The sequence below is a fragment of the Homo sapiens genome, chromosome 12, assembly GCF_000001405.40.
Source record: "Homo sapiens chromosome 12, GRCh38.p14 Primary Assembly".
In the NCBI taxonomy this organism is placed as follows: domain Eukaryota; kingdom Metazoa; phylum Chordata; class Mammalia; order Primates; family Hominidae; genus Homo; species Homo sapiens.
Genome location: NC_000012.12, coordinates 22530144 through 22548385, shown reverse-complemented (window position 1 = coordinate 22548385; position 18242 = coordinate 22530144). Strand labels below are relative to the sequence as shown.

Here is an 18242-nt window from a genome sequence, read left to right as displayed (position 1 = left end):
ACAATGAGTAGGCTGAGAAGACAGATGTATAAACCAGAATAGGTAAGAGAAGCTTGGTTTCTGAATACCAAGAGGAAGATTATTTTAAGGACAGCGTGGTCAACAGCATCAAATGCTACTGAGAGTCACGTAAATAAAAAACTGAAGCCAGGCATGGTGGCACGTGCCTGTAGTCTCAGCAACTTGGGAGCCTGAGGCAGAAGGACTGCATGAACCCAAGGGTTTGAGACCAGTCTGGGCAACACAGCAAGACCCCATCTCAAAAATAAAAACTTAAAACTAAAAAAAGTGTTCATTGCATTTAGCAACCAGAGGTTATTGATGGCATTAGTGAAAGCTGTTTTTGTAGAGTGGTGGTGGCTAAACCCAGATATTAATAGTTTTTGGAGCGCTTAGGAAGTGAGGAGAGGGCACCAAGTACTGACAACCCTTGAGTAATTTAACCTGAAAGAATGGGAAAGATTAACAGGAACATTTTAGGAAGCCAGGAAAGAAGAGCAATCTAAGTAGTAATAGCAAGTGTTAACTGTTAATTTAATTCCACAATAATTTGTTGATCACATGAAGGGCACAGGACAAAGAACTGAGAATTGAGAGATGAGTGAGAAGCAATCCATTCCCTCAGAGTGCTCATGGTTTAGTGGGGGTTGGGGGGGAGAGAGATGGATAAATAATTATTGCATGGAAAGTATAATAACAAATGTATTAGATTTAGTAGTAGCATAGGTGGGAGTGAAGAGCATATTTATTAGGAAGGAGATTAGAGAAGATGTAGAAGTGACTTTTGTAAAAGGCAAAAGATTTATACACTCTAAAGAGAAACCAGAGTATTGACTTTTGAACTGAGTTATGAATTCATAGCTATTTGGTAGGATGACTATGAGAGAGATACTCCAGGAAGAAGGAAAAGTATAGTTTATTAGAAAACTACATGTAATCTTCAAAGACGTGAGTTCTTGGAATCACATTGTCTAGATTTAAAACCTGCCTCTATCATTAGAAGCTTTGTGACCTTGGGTAATCACCAGAGCTTTGAAAAGCCATAATTTTCTCATTTATAAAATGAAGGCTGATAATTCCTACCTCAGGATTTTAGGGAGCCTTAACAGCTGTGAAACGCTGAATTCAGTAGCTGGTGTGCGGCAAACCATCAATACACGTTAATTCTTGTTATTGATAATTTAAAATGCAAAAAGAGTGTCAGGGTATGAAGCTAAACAAGGTAATCAGGAGTCACATCATGGTAGATTTGTCAGAAAGTTAGCACTGTTCCCAGCATTAATGAAAACAAACGAGAACAATTATTAGGAAACAGTTCAACTGAAGTCAGGCTTAAATCTACTAAAAATAGTTTTCAGGAAGCATCTTAATTATAATCTCTTGTTGATGAAGCCTAAGGCAACAAGTACGTACAAGTACCTCAAAGTCTACTAATTAGGAGGCTGAGATTGCTAACCTCTAATTGTGCAATTTGCAACTTTTTACATTTTGGAACACAATGCATTATTTTCCATTAATATTGGTGCTAAACTTCAATTTTCTAATATTTTTTCTTTATACATTTCATATTTTAAAAAATGAGTTGGTAATACGGTAATACTTCGATTTCACCACAAAAACGACTTCAACTCTACCACCCAAAACAACAAAAAACACTGATCATGCCGGGCAAGATGGCTCATGCCTGTAATCCCACCACTTTGTGAGGTCAAGGCAGGAGGATGGCTTAAACCAGGATTGAGACCAGCCTGGGCAATACAGGGAGACTCCATCTCTTCAAAAAATTTAAAAAACTAGCGGTGCATGGTGGTATGTGCTTGTAGTCCCAGGAACTTGGGGGGCTGAGGTGGGAGGATCGCTTGGCCCAGAAGATTGAGGCTGTAGTGAGCTATGATCATGTCACTGCACTCCAGTGTGGGACACAGAGTGAGTCCCTGTCTCTAAATAAATAAATAAATAAAAAACGTTGATCACATAGTGTAGCCAACCTTCAGAATTCTGGCAAGGGTATTTTAAGGGCAGAGTCAGACTCCAGAAAAAGCTGCAGGTGGACCTAAGGAAATTCGCATGGGATCTATGACCCCTATTCCTTTGACATAGTTTGAATTGATAAAAGTTTCTCTAGTCCAAAAAGCAAGCGATTTTTTTAGATTTTTATTTTGAGGAAGTCGTTTTCTCTGTAGGAGTTCAATTTCTCACTTATGTGAACAATATTCCTGCCATAGAAGGAATTTTTGTCATGAAAAGATAATTCGGGATCACTACTGTTTGGAGTATTTACTCTATTGAGTATTTTCGAAGTTAAAAAGATCATACGGATATCTTCACTTAGGAATGAAATGTTACAATCTTTGAGCCGGCATGAACTCTGATTTTGTTGATACTGGGTATACTGTCAATGCTGATTTTGATATTTGGTAAGGACTGATTTATTTACATCTTGTGTGTGCCTCAATTTCCCTAATATGGTCTGAGCCTGTAGATAACACCTTACTTTATTTATAGTTGGGTCAATTCTTCAAGATGTTTAACGCTCTCCATGTTTATTTCTTGTGGTTGACTATACTTTCCATGGTAGGAAGTCCTGAACTTCTGCTACTACTGTAGGTCTTATCTTTAGGCTTGTGGATGCTTAATAAGAACACTGAGATGATCTAAGAGTGCAGGACATTTAATTAAAAAAAAATTTTTTTTAAGAGACAGAGTTTTGCTCTGTTGCCCAGGTTGGGGTGCAGTGGTGAGATGGCAGCTCACTGCAGCCTCAAACTCCTGGGCTCAAGCAATTCTCCCAGATTCTCCCACCTCAGCTTCCTAGGTAGCTGAGACCACAGACGAGCCACCGGCCCAGCTAATTTTTGCATTTCTTGTAAAGAAGGGGTCTTACTGTGTTGCCTCGTCTCCATGAGGCTGGTCTCGAACTCCTGGACTCAATCGATCCTCCCACCTCAGCCTCCCACAGTGCTGGGATTACAAATCTGAGCCACCACACCTACCAGCAGAAACTTTTTTTCAAGAGGAGACTTTGGATTTCAAGGTGACCTCCCCCACCCCGCCCACAGTAATATCTGTGACCCAGTGCACAACACAAGTGCCTATGACTGAATAAAATATTTCACTAAATATTTATTTCACTATTCGAGATGTGCCTGGTATCTCTATTTCTTTCTTTCTTTTTTTTCTTTTTTTGGAGACAGAGGAGTGATCTCGGCTCACTGCAACCTCCGCCTCGCAGGTTCAAGCGATTTTCCTGCCTCAGCCTCCTGAGTAGCTGGAATTAGAGGCGCTCGCCACGACGCCCAGCTAATTTTTGTATTTTTAGTAGAGACGGGGTTTCGCCATGTTGTCCAGGCTGGTCTTGAACTCCTGACCTCAGGTGATCCGCCCGCCTCGGCCACCCAAAGTGCTGGGATTACAGACGTGAGCCACTGTGCCTGGCCATCTAACTCTATTTCACAGAAAACTGGAACCACCACACGCACCTGTACCCCTTCCAAGTAGAAACCAGCTAATTTGGTTTTACGAATCACTAAAGGCCGACTGAAAACGCTCTTCTAGCAGTCTTCGCTGCTACTCCATCTATCACAGCCCATCCGAAAAGCGGCGGTAGCAGCTGGGAAGGCCGCGGCCGGAGGCTGTCACAGAGCAGCACTCGCGCTTCGGCCCGCAAGATGGAGCGTTTCCCTCCAGGGAAGCAGCGCCGCACCTATCCACAGCCCCCACTCGGTGGATGATGCAGGACTCGGCCCATTTCCCTGCCCTCCAGCTTTCTCAACGTCAGCCCCGCCCCCTTATCTTTCCTCGGCGAGTTTAGTTTCGCCCCGCCAAGTGGGCAGAGCGCCGAACGATCGATGCTTTCTTCCGCGCCCCGAGAGCCGCCATTTTTGAGAGCGGGGGAGGAGAGACAAGCAGGGGCGGCAGAGGCTCAACGGGATGCTGACTGGGTTTTGCTTTTCGTCCCAGCCTTGTGGGGCCGGGACGGAAGAACCCATCAAAGCCCTTCCTCCCGCCGCCTCTCCGGAATGAGGTCTCAGCACCCGCGCGGGACAGCACCCTTCCTCCTGCGACAGTGAGTGGCGACCCGTGGCGCGACTGCCGGGCGCCCGCGCGCGCCCCCGCGCGCTCCTTCGCTGTCAGTTACCCCGCGCGCCTCCGCCCCTCTCCCGCCGGCCCCGCGCTCGGCGCAGACTCGTTTGTTTGTTTCTGCAGGAGCCCAAGAAGAGGCCGAAACCGAGACCATGCCAGGGAAGCTGAAGGTGAAAATCGTGGCCGGGCGCCATTTGCCAGTGATGGACCGTGCTAGTGACCTGACTGATGCCTTCGTGGAGGTTGGTGCAGGGTCCTGCCCCTCAAAACACAGGGAGCGCCAAGCCCTGTGAAGGATCTACCCACCTCGCCCCCAGCCCCTCAGCCTATTCCCCCCTCGACTGCCCTCCCTTCGGCCGTGGTTGTCCAGCTCTCCCACGAGGGATGACCGCCGAGACCTCAGTGTGTGCGATGGGTGCACGGCTTGCAGGCGTCCGCGGCACAGTCCGCTGCGCGGGGAGGCTTGTACTGTTGTGCATGCGGGGGTGACCCTGATGTCAGGACTCATTAACAGGCCACCTGCCACTCAGGAGATCCCAAGGCGTGGCCGCGCAGCCACCGACACACTCACACACATACACACACACACACACAAATGCCGGAATGACTCTGATGTCAGGACTCATTAACAGGCCACCTGCCACTCAGGAGATCCCAAGGTGTGGCCCCGCAGCCACTGAAACACACACACACACAGGCACACACACACCCTTGGAAGGGGTGGCCAGAGTGCTGGACATCATGTTTAAGAAGGTGCATGAAGCCCTTTATGGGCACTTGGAGTCCCACAGTGCGAGGAAATCCACTCTCATGCCTAACATTTTGTGAATCTGCCATGCACGTTCTAAAACACAACTGCAACACTTCCTGCTCTTGTATAGGCTGGTAGGTCTGATGAGGTGTTTCAGGGTAATTTAGCGCCTTGAGGTAGGAAGTCATTTAATTGCCATGGACTTAAATTGCAAAATTGCTTTTTAAGTCTAATGATTAGTTTAAAAGTCATGCAAATTAGTAAAGGCCTACGGCCGGAAGGTAATAACCCAGAGTCTGAAAGAAGCCAAGTAAAGATTGTAATAAAAATTGGCGTGATGAGCCAGAGCATTAGAGCAGCAATCATTTGGGCTATTAGTGCTTAGAATTGATGGATAGATATATCATAATATATAGCTCGATTTCATCTCAATATTCCTGATGTTTCCTAAATGTTCTCTAACCGAATAATTACAGTTCACTGCCTCCCCTGCCCATTGTCATGGTGATTCTTAATCACTTCATTTGAGAAAGTTCTTGAGTGCTCTTGTGCCAGATGTTAGGTGATAGGAATCCACAAATAACTAAAACATAGTGTTTGCTTTCCGGTAGTTCAGACATTGACCCACACAGCCTATTTAATAACTAATAGGTAACGTGTTGAATTTAATAATTGCCAGATCTGTACTAAGTACTTTTAAATTCTTAGTTTTCACAACAGTCCTGCTATAGGAGTATTGTTATTGTCCCATGTTACAGTGGATGTAACTGAGGCCCAGGAAGGGTAAATAATTTGCTTAAGGTTACATAGCTTGCAAACCTCCACAGCCTGACAGTTTGTTCTCTTAACCACTCTGCTAATACGGCCTCACCAAAGTGATGAGTATTGTATTAGAATATGGAAAGAATTCTGTCTCTGAAGGTTGAGAAAGGCTTCTTGTGAAAGTGACATTTGAAGTGGGCCTTGAAGGACACCCAGGATTTTACCAGGCAAAGGGAACATCAAAGGCAAAGGCATAGACTGGGATATATAGTATGTTCAGGAAACTGCCTTAGTTTAGTACGTGTCTGGAGGAAAGGGTATGAGATATGTGGGTAGTGGAGCTTGTTAGGGATGAGGCTGGAAAGCCCCATTTTCTATAAAACCTCATTTTCTGTAATATTTATAAGGAGCGACAAGGAAGCTGAATGCAGGTCACTGCAGCCTCCAACTCCTGGCCTCAAGCCATCCTCCTGCCTCTCCCGCTTCGGCCTCCCAAAGTGCTGGGATTATGGGCCTGAGCCACCACGCCTGGCCAGGGGAGTTTTTTAAGCAGAAATAAAATAAGATCATGTTTGTATTAGTTTGTTTCTTTATAGGATGGCCTGAATGGGGATGCTATTGATGGACTAGACAGATGGGAAGTGTGGCAGGGAGATCAGTTAAGAAGGTGGTAAAATTATCCAGGTAATATGTGGGAATGGGAATAGGAATGGATTTGAACAGAAAGATTTGTGGGACATTTCTTAGGTTAAAATAGTCAGGCCTTGATAACTAGGTGGATTTTGCTGGTGAGGAAGGGGGCTGATTCAGGGGTTACTTATTACTTCCTTCTTTGAACAAATTGAGTGTCTGCCGTTTGCCAGGCTCTGGGCTAGTTACTGGTCTAGCCGATGTATATACATGGTGAATAAGACAGACTTGGTTCCTTCTCTTAATTCAGCTTATATTTTAGTGGGAGAGACAGATGTTTAAAAGGTAAATAAATTATTAAATATATAGTTACAAGTTGGGATGGGTGCCATGAAAGGGAACAATAGAAAGAGAACAACAGGGAACACCTACTTTAGGTTGAGTAATCAGGGGAGGCCCCTGAGAAAAGTGTTTGTCAAAACCAAGATCTGCTGGATGAGAAGGAGCCTGCTGCTGAGGGAGCATATTTGTGTGTGTAGGGGAGTGGGTGGACAGAAGGTAACCCGGAGATCTCATGTAGAGATTTGGTGTGTTTTAAGAAGTGAAGGAAAATGCGTGTGGCTGGCACGTAGTCAGTGAAGGGAAGAGTAGTATAAGATAAAGTTGGAGAGTTAATCAAAGAACCAGTCTTGCAAGGACTAAGGCCATGATTAAGAGTTTGAATTTTACCCTAAATTCATTGAGAAGCCCTTGTTAAGATGAGCACTGTTATATGGAGAATGGATTGAAGGGGAAAGAGTAGAAATCAGGCAGTTAGGAGATTCTATAATAGTTCAAATAACAGGTAATGTTATCCAAGGTGATGGATTTGGTAATGCGGACAAGTGGATGAATTCCAGGTATATTTTGAAGATAGATTAAAAGATGACTCCTAGCTTTCTGAAGTATTGGGTTTTCTGATACTCCAGGGGGATGGTAAAGATTGAGGAGGATCATTTTCCATTTGAGCATGTTAGGTTTGTGATGTCTTTAGGGTCTTTAATTGGAGATGTTAAGGAAGTGATTTATGACTATGGCATTCAAAAAAAAGAGGTCTGAGTTAAAAATGAGCACACAAGCCAGTGTTTCTCAACTGTGAGACCCAGGACTCCCTTTAGATAGCTGGTATTTTGGAATCTACCCTTTCTATCCTGGCATGATATTTTTTAGTTAATATATCCTTACAATTAAAAAATCAGTACCACGGTTTAACTATAACAAATAGAAGTATTTGTTTTTGTTGTTATCATTATTATTTTTTTGAGATAGAGTCTTGCTCTTTCACCCAGGCTGGAGTGTAGTGGCACGATCTTGGCTCACTGCAACTTCCGTCACCTGGGTTCAAGCGATTGTCCTGCCTCAGCCTCCAGAGTAGCTGGGATTACAGGTGCTTGCCTCCGCGCCCAGCTAATTTTTGTATTTTTAGTAGCGACGGGGTTTCGCCATGTTGGCCAGGCTGGTCTTGAACTCCTGACCTCAGGTGATCCACCTGCCTTGGTCTCCCAAAGTGCTGGGATTACAGATGTGAGCCACCGCGCCTGGCCTGTTGTTATTATTTTAATATGGAAGTACTTTTTCATGACCATAATAGAAAACATGAAGTAATCAGATGAATCAATGAATTCAGCCTTTGTATGTATTAGACACTGTACTGGATGCTGGGGATATAGCAATAAATTTAAAAAAACTTCATTCACGGAACTTACATTTTAGTGGGAGGAGAGAGTTCATAAATAAGGTAAGTAAGTAAAAGATACAGTATGCTGGATGGTCTAGTTTTCTCTAGATTTTAGCATATACCAAAAATTACTTAAGAATAATATATGGAGAAAATAAAGCTGGGACACAGAATAGGGAGTGCCTCGCCTATGTTAAAACCACGTGAATGTGACTGCTTCTCAAACAGAGTGAGACAGTTGTGTAGTTTTGGCATCTCAGATCTTCATTGCCATTGGTTATCTGATTTTTCAAAATAGTCAACTCATGGGAAAAAGCAGAGTTGCCTCTTGATTTACATGATGGTTGTAGTTCTTGACAATTATGTACATTGAAACCCGATTGTAATACTTCTATCTGTAAAACTGAGGTTCTAGGTAGGGTTTTTTTTCTCTTTTTTTTTTTTTTTTTTGAGACGGAGCTTCGCTCTTGTTGCCCAGGTTGGAGTGCAATGGCGTGATCTCAGCTCACTGTAAACTCTGCCTCTCAGGTTCAAGCGATTCTCCTGCCTCAGCCTCCTGAGTAGCTGGGACTACCAGTGCACCACCATGCCTGGCTAATTTTTTGTATTTTTGTAGAGACAGGGTTTCACCATGTTGCCCAGACTGGTCTTGAACACCTGACCTCAGGTGATCCACCCACATTGGCCTCCCAAAGTGCGGGGATTACAGGCATGAGCCACCACACCTGGTCTTCTAGGTAGGTTTCTTACCCATGTGATTATCTAGTGGCACATTTGAAAATCATGACATGGTAAAAGTCTTCATTGTTGGGAACTCTCTTGCATTGAAGAATACCTGGCATCTCTGGCCCTTCCTCACTTAATGCAATTACTATTTTCCCCAAAACCACTGCTAGAAATGTCTAAAGCTTCTTTAGGAGTTGGAGTTGGTTCTGTCTTTTTTGCAAAGCTTTAGGAGTTGGTTCTGTCTTTTTTGCAAACCTGTGACTTAGGGGAAGGGAGAGAAACAGGATGAATCCTTGAAAAAACTTGATATTAAGAGGTTTATTAGAAGAGGAGGACTAGAGGAAGGAAACTGAGATTGTGAGCCAGTGGGTGGGAGAAAAATGGGGAACATAATGTCTTAGAAGGCAAGAGAGGAAGTTTCTAGAAAGAGGAAGGAAGCTCAATTGTCAGATGTCACTGAGGTCAAGTAAGAAGACAGAAAAATTATTGGATTGGACAACATGGGGGTTGTGACAAGAGGCATGATGAGGGTGGAATCCCATCCTGTAGTGATTTAAAGAGAAAGTACATGGGAAGTGAGGAAGTAGAAAGAGTATGAATAGGCAACTGTTTCAAGATGTATGGCTATGAAGGGGGGAGGAAAAATACTGTGGTGTTTGAGAAGTAGTTTTAGTACTTAAAAAATAAATGAAAAGATACAGAACCTATTTGTGTGCTAATAGGAATAATCCAGTAGAAAGGGGAAAAATTAATGCAGGAAAAGGGGGATAATGAAGGATTACAATATAATAAAGGGATAAATGCTTGATACAGACTTAAGTTCATAGAAGAGGGAGATAATGAAGCGTGGGCTTGTCATGAGAAACCTTTATCCTGGGCCTGGAGGATGGTAAAATTTACAAAGGCAGAGAGAAAAAGGAAGAAAAAATTTTCAGGTGACTAGGACAAACTTGATAAAAGCAAAAGAACAGAGTATGTATTGATGTAATTGAATGTATTTCAATTGAATGAATTTCATTCATATGTGATTGAAAGGAAGATTCTTGTTGAATAGAAGTGGGAAATAAATCTGGCTAGGAAAGGGGGATACAGATTACTGAGTAGTCCAAAAATTAGGAGGAGAGGTCAATACAGTTGAAGCTGTCTTAACAACCTCCGTTAAGTGACTCATTGCAATCCTCAGCGTTCTGCATCCTTCCATAAAGCGTATTCGTAAATACTCCTCTGGGTAAGACTACTCTCCAGTGTGTCTGGAGTTTCCCATCAGTTGGCTGATATACTTTACCAAGAGGCAGTTGTGTTTATTCCCAAATCTGCTTATGTCAACTGTATTTCTTACTATATTTTATTTAAACCTTATATAAATGAGTGAATGTAAAGACATGGAAATGGTTACTAAAAATAGCTCTTGAATTAGGTGGAGAAAAGACTGTAAAAAATAGAGGATTCTTTGTTCGTACTTTTTAAAGCAACCCAAACTGGAAATCAGAGATGAATGTGGCTTATGCAAAAAAAGATGACTAAACAGTTGACTTTTACACAAAGAAGAGGTCTTAGCCTTACATTAAAAGACAGGAATGAATGTTTGTTTATATGTTTTATCTTAAAATGTTTACAGTTTGTATTATTTTTAGTGATCCTCTAATTTAACCAAGTTATTTGATTAACTGATCAAGTATTGGTCCTGGTTGCATTGATTGAGAGAATTTCCACTATATATGACGTCAGGAGTGTAGGGACCCAGTGAAGACCAAATAATTCTTCAAGACGAGTAGTCTTGCAGGAATCTCTAGAGTAAGATGGGGTTCTGTACAAGCGAAGTATTAATGGAAATATATCTGAATGTTAATGTGTGTTACCAATTGTTTGGCTAAACTACATTGTCATCTTGTGTTTTTCTAGGAACCTTTGAGGGAACAGGGAGAGGAAAGTAAATATTTAATGAATATTTCCTATGTGCAGACATTTTGCTAGGTCTCTACATGTGTTATATCATGTAATGCTCACTTACAATCCCACTTTTCAGAGGAGGAAGCCAATTTAAATAACAGGTTAATAACTTTCTCAAGGTAATTTAGCTAATGAGTAGGTAAAGAGAATGCTTTACTTTACTGGGGGAAATCTCCATTAAAATCCCTGATGTTCTTTAACAGAGTTATAAGGCATTCATTTAATTGCTGAGTAATAAAATGTCCTTTTAATTAAATTAAGACTAAGTGAACCGAGATTCTTCTGTACTAGAGTGGAAATCATCCAATGTTGGCAAAATACACACTCCAGCCTTTTTCTTTTTGTTTCTTGTCCTTTATTTGTTTTCTTGTTTGAAAGACTGGGTCTTGCTCTGTTGCCCAGGCCTGAATGCAGCAGCCTTGAACTCCTGGCTTCAAGCTCCTCTTGCCTTAGCTTCTTGAGTAGCAGGGACTCCAGGCACGCACCACCCTGCCTGGCTGATGACTTTTCCTTTTTTCTAAAGTCTTTTTTGTTTGTTTAAAGCAGTTTGTGGACTATCGGATCTTTATTTAGAATGAACAGTTGCACAACAACAAAAAGGCACAGTATAGCACAACTGTTATAGTGGGACAAAACTGTAGAGTGCTCTAAACTTGTCACTTAAAAAATCATGTACTACTTTTGGCAGTTGAGCCAAAACCCTTAAGTATATTGCTTTTGAATGATTTTGAATGTTTTTATAAATCCTAACAGTATTTTACTTCATATAAAGCAGCTTTAGATAAATTAAACAATAAGTATTTCCATCATGCCTTGAATATTTAAATGGAATGAAAATTAAATTAGTAATTAAACAAGAACCTCTATTCTTCCTTTTTCCTCATTAAGTTTCATTTCTTTATCATTGTGATTAAAAAAATTATGCAAGTAATACTTGAATGCTCCCCATTAAAAAAGATTGAAACACTCAAATATAACTCGAAAACCCCTTACTTTCTTCTTACACCACTGTACTCTATTTCCTACACCCTATCAGTCCCTTCTTCAGAGATAATTGCTGTCAGTTCTTTGGCTTATGTTAATCTATTCTTCATCCTCTTAACAAATACTTGTATATCTATATCACATTTTTAGAAACAAATATAATCATACTTTATATATTCTGCTACTTGTTTTTTCAGTTATTGTGTAATATCTTCTAGTGACAGTACATATAGTCGACTCCATTATTTATAGGGCACATGATTTGTTCAGTCACTTTCCTGCTGAATGACTATATTTTTGGTGGGGAGGGCTTATGTGAAAGTACTTCTGTAGGTTAAATTCCTGGTAGCAAACCTAGGATTCTGTAATTTGAATGAAAATAAAGTTATTGCCATTTTTATTTTAATTTTTGATGTTTTTGAATTTTAAAATAATGCATTTAAAATAGGTAGTATTATGCATGGTTCAAAATTCAAAAGGTACAAAGTGAGTCAGCTTCTCTTTCACAGCCTCTCCTTTAACCAACCTCTTCTGCTGTTTGTAGTGGCCATTGTTACTATTTCTTGTATATACTTCTAGAAATAATGTGCGCATATACAGACATATAACTATTATATGAATTCTGTCTTTTTTTTTTTTGTGCTGAAGAATGCCATATATCTGCAGTAGAAAGATGTATCTTGGAAGTTGTTCCTTACCAGTGCATGGAGAACTGCTTTATTCTATTTAGTGCTACATTGTGTTGCTTTACCATAAATTTAATTAGTTCCATATTGACAGATATTTAACTTGTTTCCAAGCTTTTGCTACAGTAATGCTGCTGATATATGCCATTGTGTACCTCTGTGGGATAAATTCTAAGAAGTAGAATTGCTAGCTTAAAAGGGATTTAAGGCATTTAAAATTTTGATGTGTTTTCAAAGTCTCTGTAGAGATTGTTCTACAACTCCTACCAGCAAAGCATGACAGTACCGCACCAATTCTGTTTTCAAATCTTTTGGTCTTTGCCAGCCTGATAAGTAAAAATATTTTAGTTTGCATTTCTCTTAGTATGAATGAGGTTGATCATCTTTTGATGTGGTTAAAGACAGCTGTATTTCCATTTCTGTGACTTACCTGATCATATCCTTTGCCTATTTTTTCTATTGGGTTGTTGATCTTTTATTGCTCTCTATATGCTCTTTAGAAACGGAGGAAGTTAGTTCTTTGTGATGTGTGGAGCTGGTCAAGCAGAGCAATGGGTGATTGCTTGTTGTGGGTATTATTATTAGTCTACAATCTTACCTGGATCCATCTGTACCTTCTTCCCTTTGTCCCAGAGGATAATAGTCTTTTGTCCCCTTTATGGTTTATCCTTCTATTGGTTGGCTGACATTAAAATTTACTTTTATTCACATTTTTGATATTCATATGTGAATAATTTCTTATTTGTTTTTAGGTAAAATTTGGTAATACCACCTTTAAAACAGATGTGTACCTTAAGTCACTCAACCCTCAGTGGAACTCGGAGTGGTTTAAATTTGAGGTAAGTTTTTAAATGTCAGCATTTTTGAGTGTATTTTTTTGAGGTGACTCTTTTCCCTCAGGAATAATGAGAACCTTTTATTTCAGGCATAGTAGTATTTCTACATCACAAAAATATTTTCTTTTCTGCTTACCTAGGAATATTGAGTCTAAAAAAAGTTGTATTACATTTAAGAAAATACAGTATATGATAACACATTAACAAAAGAAGTCTTCAGATGTATTATATTATTATTATTGTAGTTTTCTCTAGATTTTAGCACATACCAAAAATTACTTAAGAATAATATATGGATTAAAATAAATTTTTAAAAATTGTAGTACTATATATTGTGAATATTGCCATTTAAATCATTTGTAAGTGTACAGTTTGGTAGCATTAATTACATTCACAGTGTTTTGCTACCATCACCGCTATTTCCAGAACTTTTTCTTTATCCTAAATGGAAATTGTGTACTCACTAACCAATAACTTCCCATTCCCTCCTCTCCCTAGACTCTGGTGACCTCTAATCTACTTTCTGTCTCTTTGAATTTGCTTATGCTAGATATTTCATATAAATGGAGTCATATAATACTTGTCCTGTTGTATCTGCTTTCTTTTACTCAGCATAATGTTTTCAGGGTTCATCCACACTGTAACATGTATCAGAATTTTATTCCTTCTTATGGCTGAATAATAACCCATTGTATGTGTATGCCACATTTTATTTTCTAATTGAGTTATTTTTATTGAGTTGTAAAAGTTCTTTATATATTCTGAATATTAACTTATTATCAGATATATAATTTGCAAATATTTTCACTCATTCAATAGGTTGTCTTTTTACTTTCTTGATAATTTTCTTTGATGCGCAAAAGTTTTAAATTTTGATGAAGTCCAATATATTTATTTTTGTTTTGGTGTGAAATCAAAGAATCCATTGTCAACTCTAAGGTCATGAAGATTACCCCTATGTTTTTTTGTAAGAGTTTTATGGTTTTAATTCCTATATGTAGGTCATGGATTCATTTGGAGTTAATTTTTATAATGGAGTGCAGTAAGAGGCCAACTTCATTCCTTTCTTTTAATAGACAGAGTCTTGCTTTGTTGCCCAGGCTGGAGTGCAATGGTGCGATCTTGGCTCACTGCAACCTCCGCCTGCTGGGTTCAAGCGATTCTCCTGCCTCAGCCTCCCTAGTAGCTGGGATTACAGGCATGCGCCATCATGCCTGGCTAATTTTTTTGTATTTTTAGTAGAGATGGGGTTTTGCCCTGTTGGCCCGGCTGGTCTCAAACTCCTGACCTCAAGTGATCTGCCTGCCTTGGCCTCCCAAAGTGCTAGGATTACAGGCGTTAGCCACCACACGTGGCCCCAACTTCATTCATGTATGTAGAAATTCATGCATGTAGAAATTCAGTTGTTTGGGCACATTTGTTGAAGAGACTGTTCTTTTACCATTGATTGGTAGTCCACATAGAGACAGGAGGTGGTTATGTTCAAATGGCTCATGGCCTGGTGATCTGAGGGGACTTCTCCAAAAGGAGAGCCTCCCATCTCCTCACCCAGGTCTCTTTTCATTCCTCCCTTCTTCCCACTTGTGCTTCCTTCCTTGAGGCCCTTGAATGTAGAGGTCCCTATCACTCATGTTCTCCTCTTGTGCTCTTCTTAGGAAGTCCGTTGTGTTACTGTTAGGATGTCTGTTTTATGTTGCGCCCAGCCACCTCCCTGCAGTTTCTGCCCTCTTTCTCTCTACATCTGTTTATTTTTTCATGGGTTGATTTGGTCTGTCGGCATGCCCCAATCCTCCAGGAGATTATAGGGACTGTACTAGGCTTTGAGAACAACAAGATGACATACAAAAGGAGATACAGTTCTCATTTACAGACTGCTTATTATAGCCCAGACGCTGGTGAAGTGCTTTACATGTGTTAACCTCATTCAATTCTCACAATGCCGTGAAGGCACCTTTTATTTTAAGATGACTCAGAAGTCCAACCCAGAGCTAGCTAAGTGGTAGAGTGAGGTTTCAAACCGAAGACTGCCTGACTCCAAAGCTATTACCAGACCACCACACCTCCATCTTACATTCTCCCATTCTACCCACCACCCCCCCTTCCCAAGTTAAACATCTTTGTCATTTATTGTTCCCTGTGCCAGCAATGTTTTCCCTGCTTTTTTTGTTCTTCTTCACTGCTATGTCCTCAACGCCCAGAAGAGCGTGTAATAGACTCTCGGTAAATATTTACCACACATATTGCCCATTTCTCTGATACCACTTCCTTCACCCCTCAGCTGGAACTGAAATTTTCTTCTTTGGAATTTTCATTGGACTACTTAAGAACCTTGTGAGGACCAATTTGGTTTTTCTTCCCCTGCTATTTCATGCTGGCCCTTATATTGGGCAGCATTGTGGCTGCTGTGCCTTTTCTGAGGCCTATTTCATAACCATTATGGAGCCTGGGTAAAGTTTAGCTCTTGCAGGGTAAGGTGTCATTCTTCAGTGAAAGAGAACAAGGGAAGGAAAGTATTGATTTGCTTGAAAGATGCTTTGATCATGCTGGGGAACCTGCCAAACTGATACCTGAAGATGGAAGAAATGACACTACGATTTTTAGGCGCTGCTTTGCTTATGGTTTATATTAGGACCGTGATCTTTCTTTTAGTGTTGGAAGGCACATTCTGTAGTGGTTGGGATACTGCATAGCTGCCCTCTATTGGAAAAGCTTAAAGGTCTGGATTAAGAGAAAACAAATTCTATTTCTGGTGCCTGCTAATTTGCAGATGACCTCAGACAGCCTTACCATTTGGAGCCTCTGTTTTTTTTCAAACATGAATTCTTTCCAGAGTAGTATTGAGGTGGCTATGAAGCATGTTGCTGTATGTTAATATGAGTTGCACTAGTCAAAAAAAAGAGAATAATATATGTAAACTTTTTTTTTTTTTTGAGACGGAGTTTCACTCCCGTTGCCCAGGCTGGAGGGCAATGGTGGGATCTTGGCTCACTGCAACCTCTGCCTCTCAGGTTCAAGCGATTCTCCTGCCTCAGCCTCTTGAGTAGCTGGGAGTACAGTCATGCGCCACCACACCTGGCTAATTTTGTATTTTTAGTAGAGACAGGGTTTCTCCATGTTGGTCAAGCTGTTCTCAAACTCGCGACCTCAGGTGATCCACCCACCTTGGCCTCCCAAAGTGCTGGGATTACAGGCGTAATGCCCGGCCTGGGAATAATATTTTTAAATCACTCAGCATTTTGGATAGACATTCAGCGTTTGGCAGAAAGTGGGTTTAAATATTAGCATTTTGGGGTATATCTTCTGTTCTTTCGTTAATGTATAGTTTAATTAGTCTGAGTGGTGTAGGTGTGCTAAAAAAATAGAACTGCAGTTTGAAAAGCTTTTGTTGCTAAAATTAAATCTCAGTTTGTATAAGAAAGGTGTACCTCGTCTGTAGACTCAGCATTTATGGACAGTGACAGCTTTTATTTATTATCTCTGTGGAATATAACTGTGTTTCTCAAAATTACGACCTCATCAGAGTAGCTTGGCTGTGTCTCAGTCTTCTGTCAAAAGGACTCAGTTATAGAAACAGTTATTCTTAACCTCCCAGTAGCTTTTACCCAAAGGTTTTCAAGCAAATGGATCTCTCTAAGGAAGGTAATTTCTAGTTTCTGTAAACTCCTCCTCTTTTAAAATGGACTTCCATGTTATCTGCTAGAACATTGAACTGGAAGTCAGTAAATTGTTTAGGACTTTACCTTTGAGGCAAGTTAAAAAAAATCAGTTGGACATAGATGTAAGGATTTATTTCCGCACTCTCAACTCCATTCCATTGGTCTGTATGTCTGTCTTTATACTATTACCATACTGTTTTGATTACTATAGCTTTGTAGTGAGTTTTGCAATCAGGAAGTGAGAGTCCTACAAATTCATATTTTTAGTTGATATTTTCATGGTGAAATATTTTGATTCTCTTCTCATTTTCTTTTGTGTATATGTACAAATTTTTCTTTTAGCTGCTTCTAAAATGCCACTATCTATTTTGAAAGACCCGTTGCACATGTATTGAGTCTATTGTGGCATTTTAAACTACATTATTAAGGTAAAGGTGTGGAATATATGTGTCAAAAAATAATCAGAGTAACTTCCTTACATGATTTCAGATGGATTTAGAATTAGAGTCTATCTTCATTACCCAGGCAAAACACTGGGATGTTTATATAGTTTATTTTGATAGCCTTTCCCCCCCAACTATAACCTAGAAATGGTTAAAAACGAATAGTTTTCATTACATTGTTATTGGAATGGTGGGAGGAGGCAAGCTTCATGTGTCAGAGTAATTTTCATGATACTAGGAAATATTAAAAAATGATATTTCATTTTAATGATGATGGTAATAAACTGGTATTTTTTAAAGCTAGTGAGTACTCAAGCAGCTTACTTAACAATATGAAAAATAATATATTTATTTTCTGAAATAAGGGATTTACCAGGCAGTTCCCTTAAAATTTCTTAAGTTAGTGGCTGGGTGCAGTGGCTCACAGCTATAATCTTGGGACTTTGGGAAGCCGAGGCAGGCGAATCACCTGAGATCCAGGGTTCAAGACCAGCCTGGGCAACAGAGTGAAACCCCGTCTCTACTAAAATACAAAAATTAGCCGGGTGTGGTGGTGTGAACCTGTAATCCCAGCTATGTGGGAGGCCGAGGCCCAAGAATCGCTTGAACCTGGGAGGCAGAGGTTGCAGTGAGTCGAGATCACGCCATTGCACTCCAGCCTGGGTGACAGAGTGAGACTCCGTCTTAAAAAAAAAAAAAAATTTAGTAAGTTACTGTTTTGACTAGTCTTCCCGAATAATATATATGCTGTGAAAAATGTACTTAAAACTTTGTGTTTATAGTTAACATTGATTATGTAGTACTTTTTTTAACCCTGTTTATCAGTTGTTAATTGCATTCAGTTATATATATATATTCAGTTTTAAATATATATACACACACAGTTGTGTATATATATATACACAGTTGTATGTATACATATACACATAGTTGTATATATACAGTTATATATATACTGTATATATATACACAGTTGTATATATAGTTGTTATGTATACAGTTGTGTATAATATATATA

General features: G+C 40.1%; 1 protein-coding gene across 33 annotated transcripts in view, besides 3 other annotated features; it reads left to right on the top strand.

Annotated features, from left to right (window-relative positions):
• Positions 3714-3943: an enhancer, noted in NCBI's record as "active region_6098". NCBI's record gives its function as "activates an Ori minimal core promoter by ATAC-STARR-seq in GM12878 lymphoblastoid cells {active_cell/tissue: GM12878}" and the evidence as "EXISTENCE:reporter gene assay evidence [ECO:0000049][PMID:35858748]".
• The window catches only part of C2CD5 (C2 calcium dependent domain containing 5), a 95960-nt gene continuing 81561 nt past the window's right edge, over positions 3844-18242 (top strand). For 30 of the 33 annotated variants that reach the window (NR_169598.1, NM_014802.3, XM_047429935.1 and 27 more), the window contains exons 1-3: positions 3844-4066; positions 4207-4325; positions 13042-13128. Coding sequence is in view for 29 of the 33 variants with exons in the window: in NM_014802.3 (NP_055617.1) it covers positions 4236-4325; positions 13042-13128 (177 nt within the window). In the remaining 4 variants the exon portion in view is untranslated. Of the gene's footprint in view, positions 4067-4188; positions 4326-13041; positions 13129-18242 lie in introns of those variants that run through there. The other 3 variants (NM_001385330.1, NM_001385329.1, NM_001286174.3) reach the window with 2 other exon arrangements.
• Positions 4084-4203: a silencer, noted in NCBI's record as "silent region_4289". NCBI's record gives its function as "represses an Ori minimal core promoter by ATAC-STARR-seq in GM12878 lymphoblastoid cells {active_cell/tissue: GM12878}" and the evidence as "EXISTENCE:reporter gene assay evidence [ECO:0000049][PMID:35858748]".
• Positions 5084-5603: an enhancer, noted in NCBI's record as "NANOG-H3K4me1 hESC enhancer chr12:22695717-22696236 (GRCh37/hg19 assembly coordinates)". NCBI's record gives its function as "activates a minimal SCP1, AML or CMV promoter by ChIP-STARR-seq in primed H9 embryonic stem cells {active_cell/tissue: H9 hESC(primed)}" and the evidence as "EXISTENCE:reporter gene assay evidence [ECO:0000049][PMID:30033119]".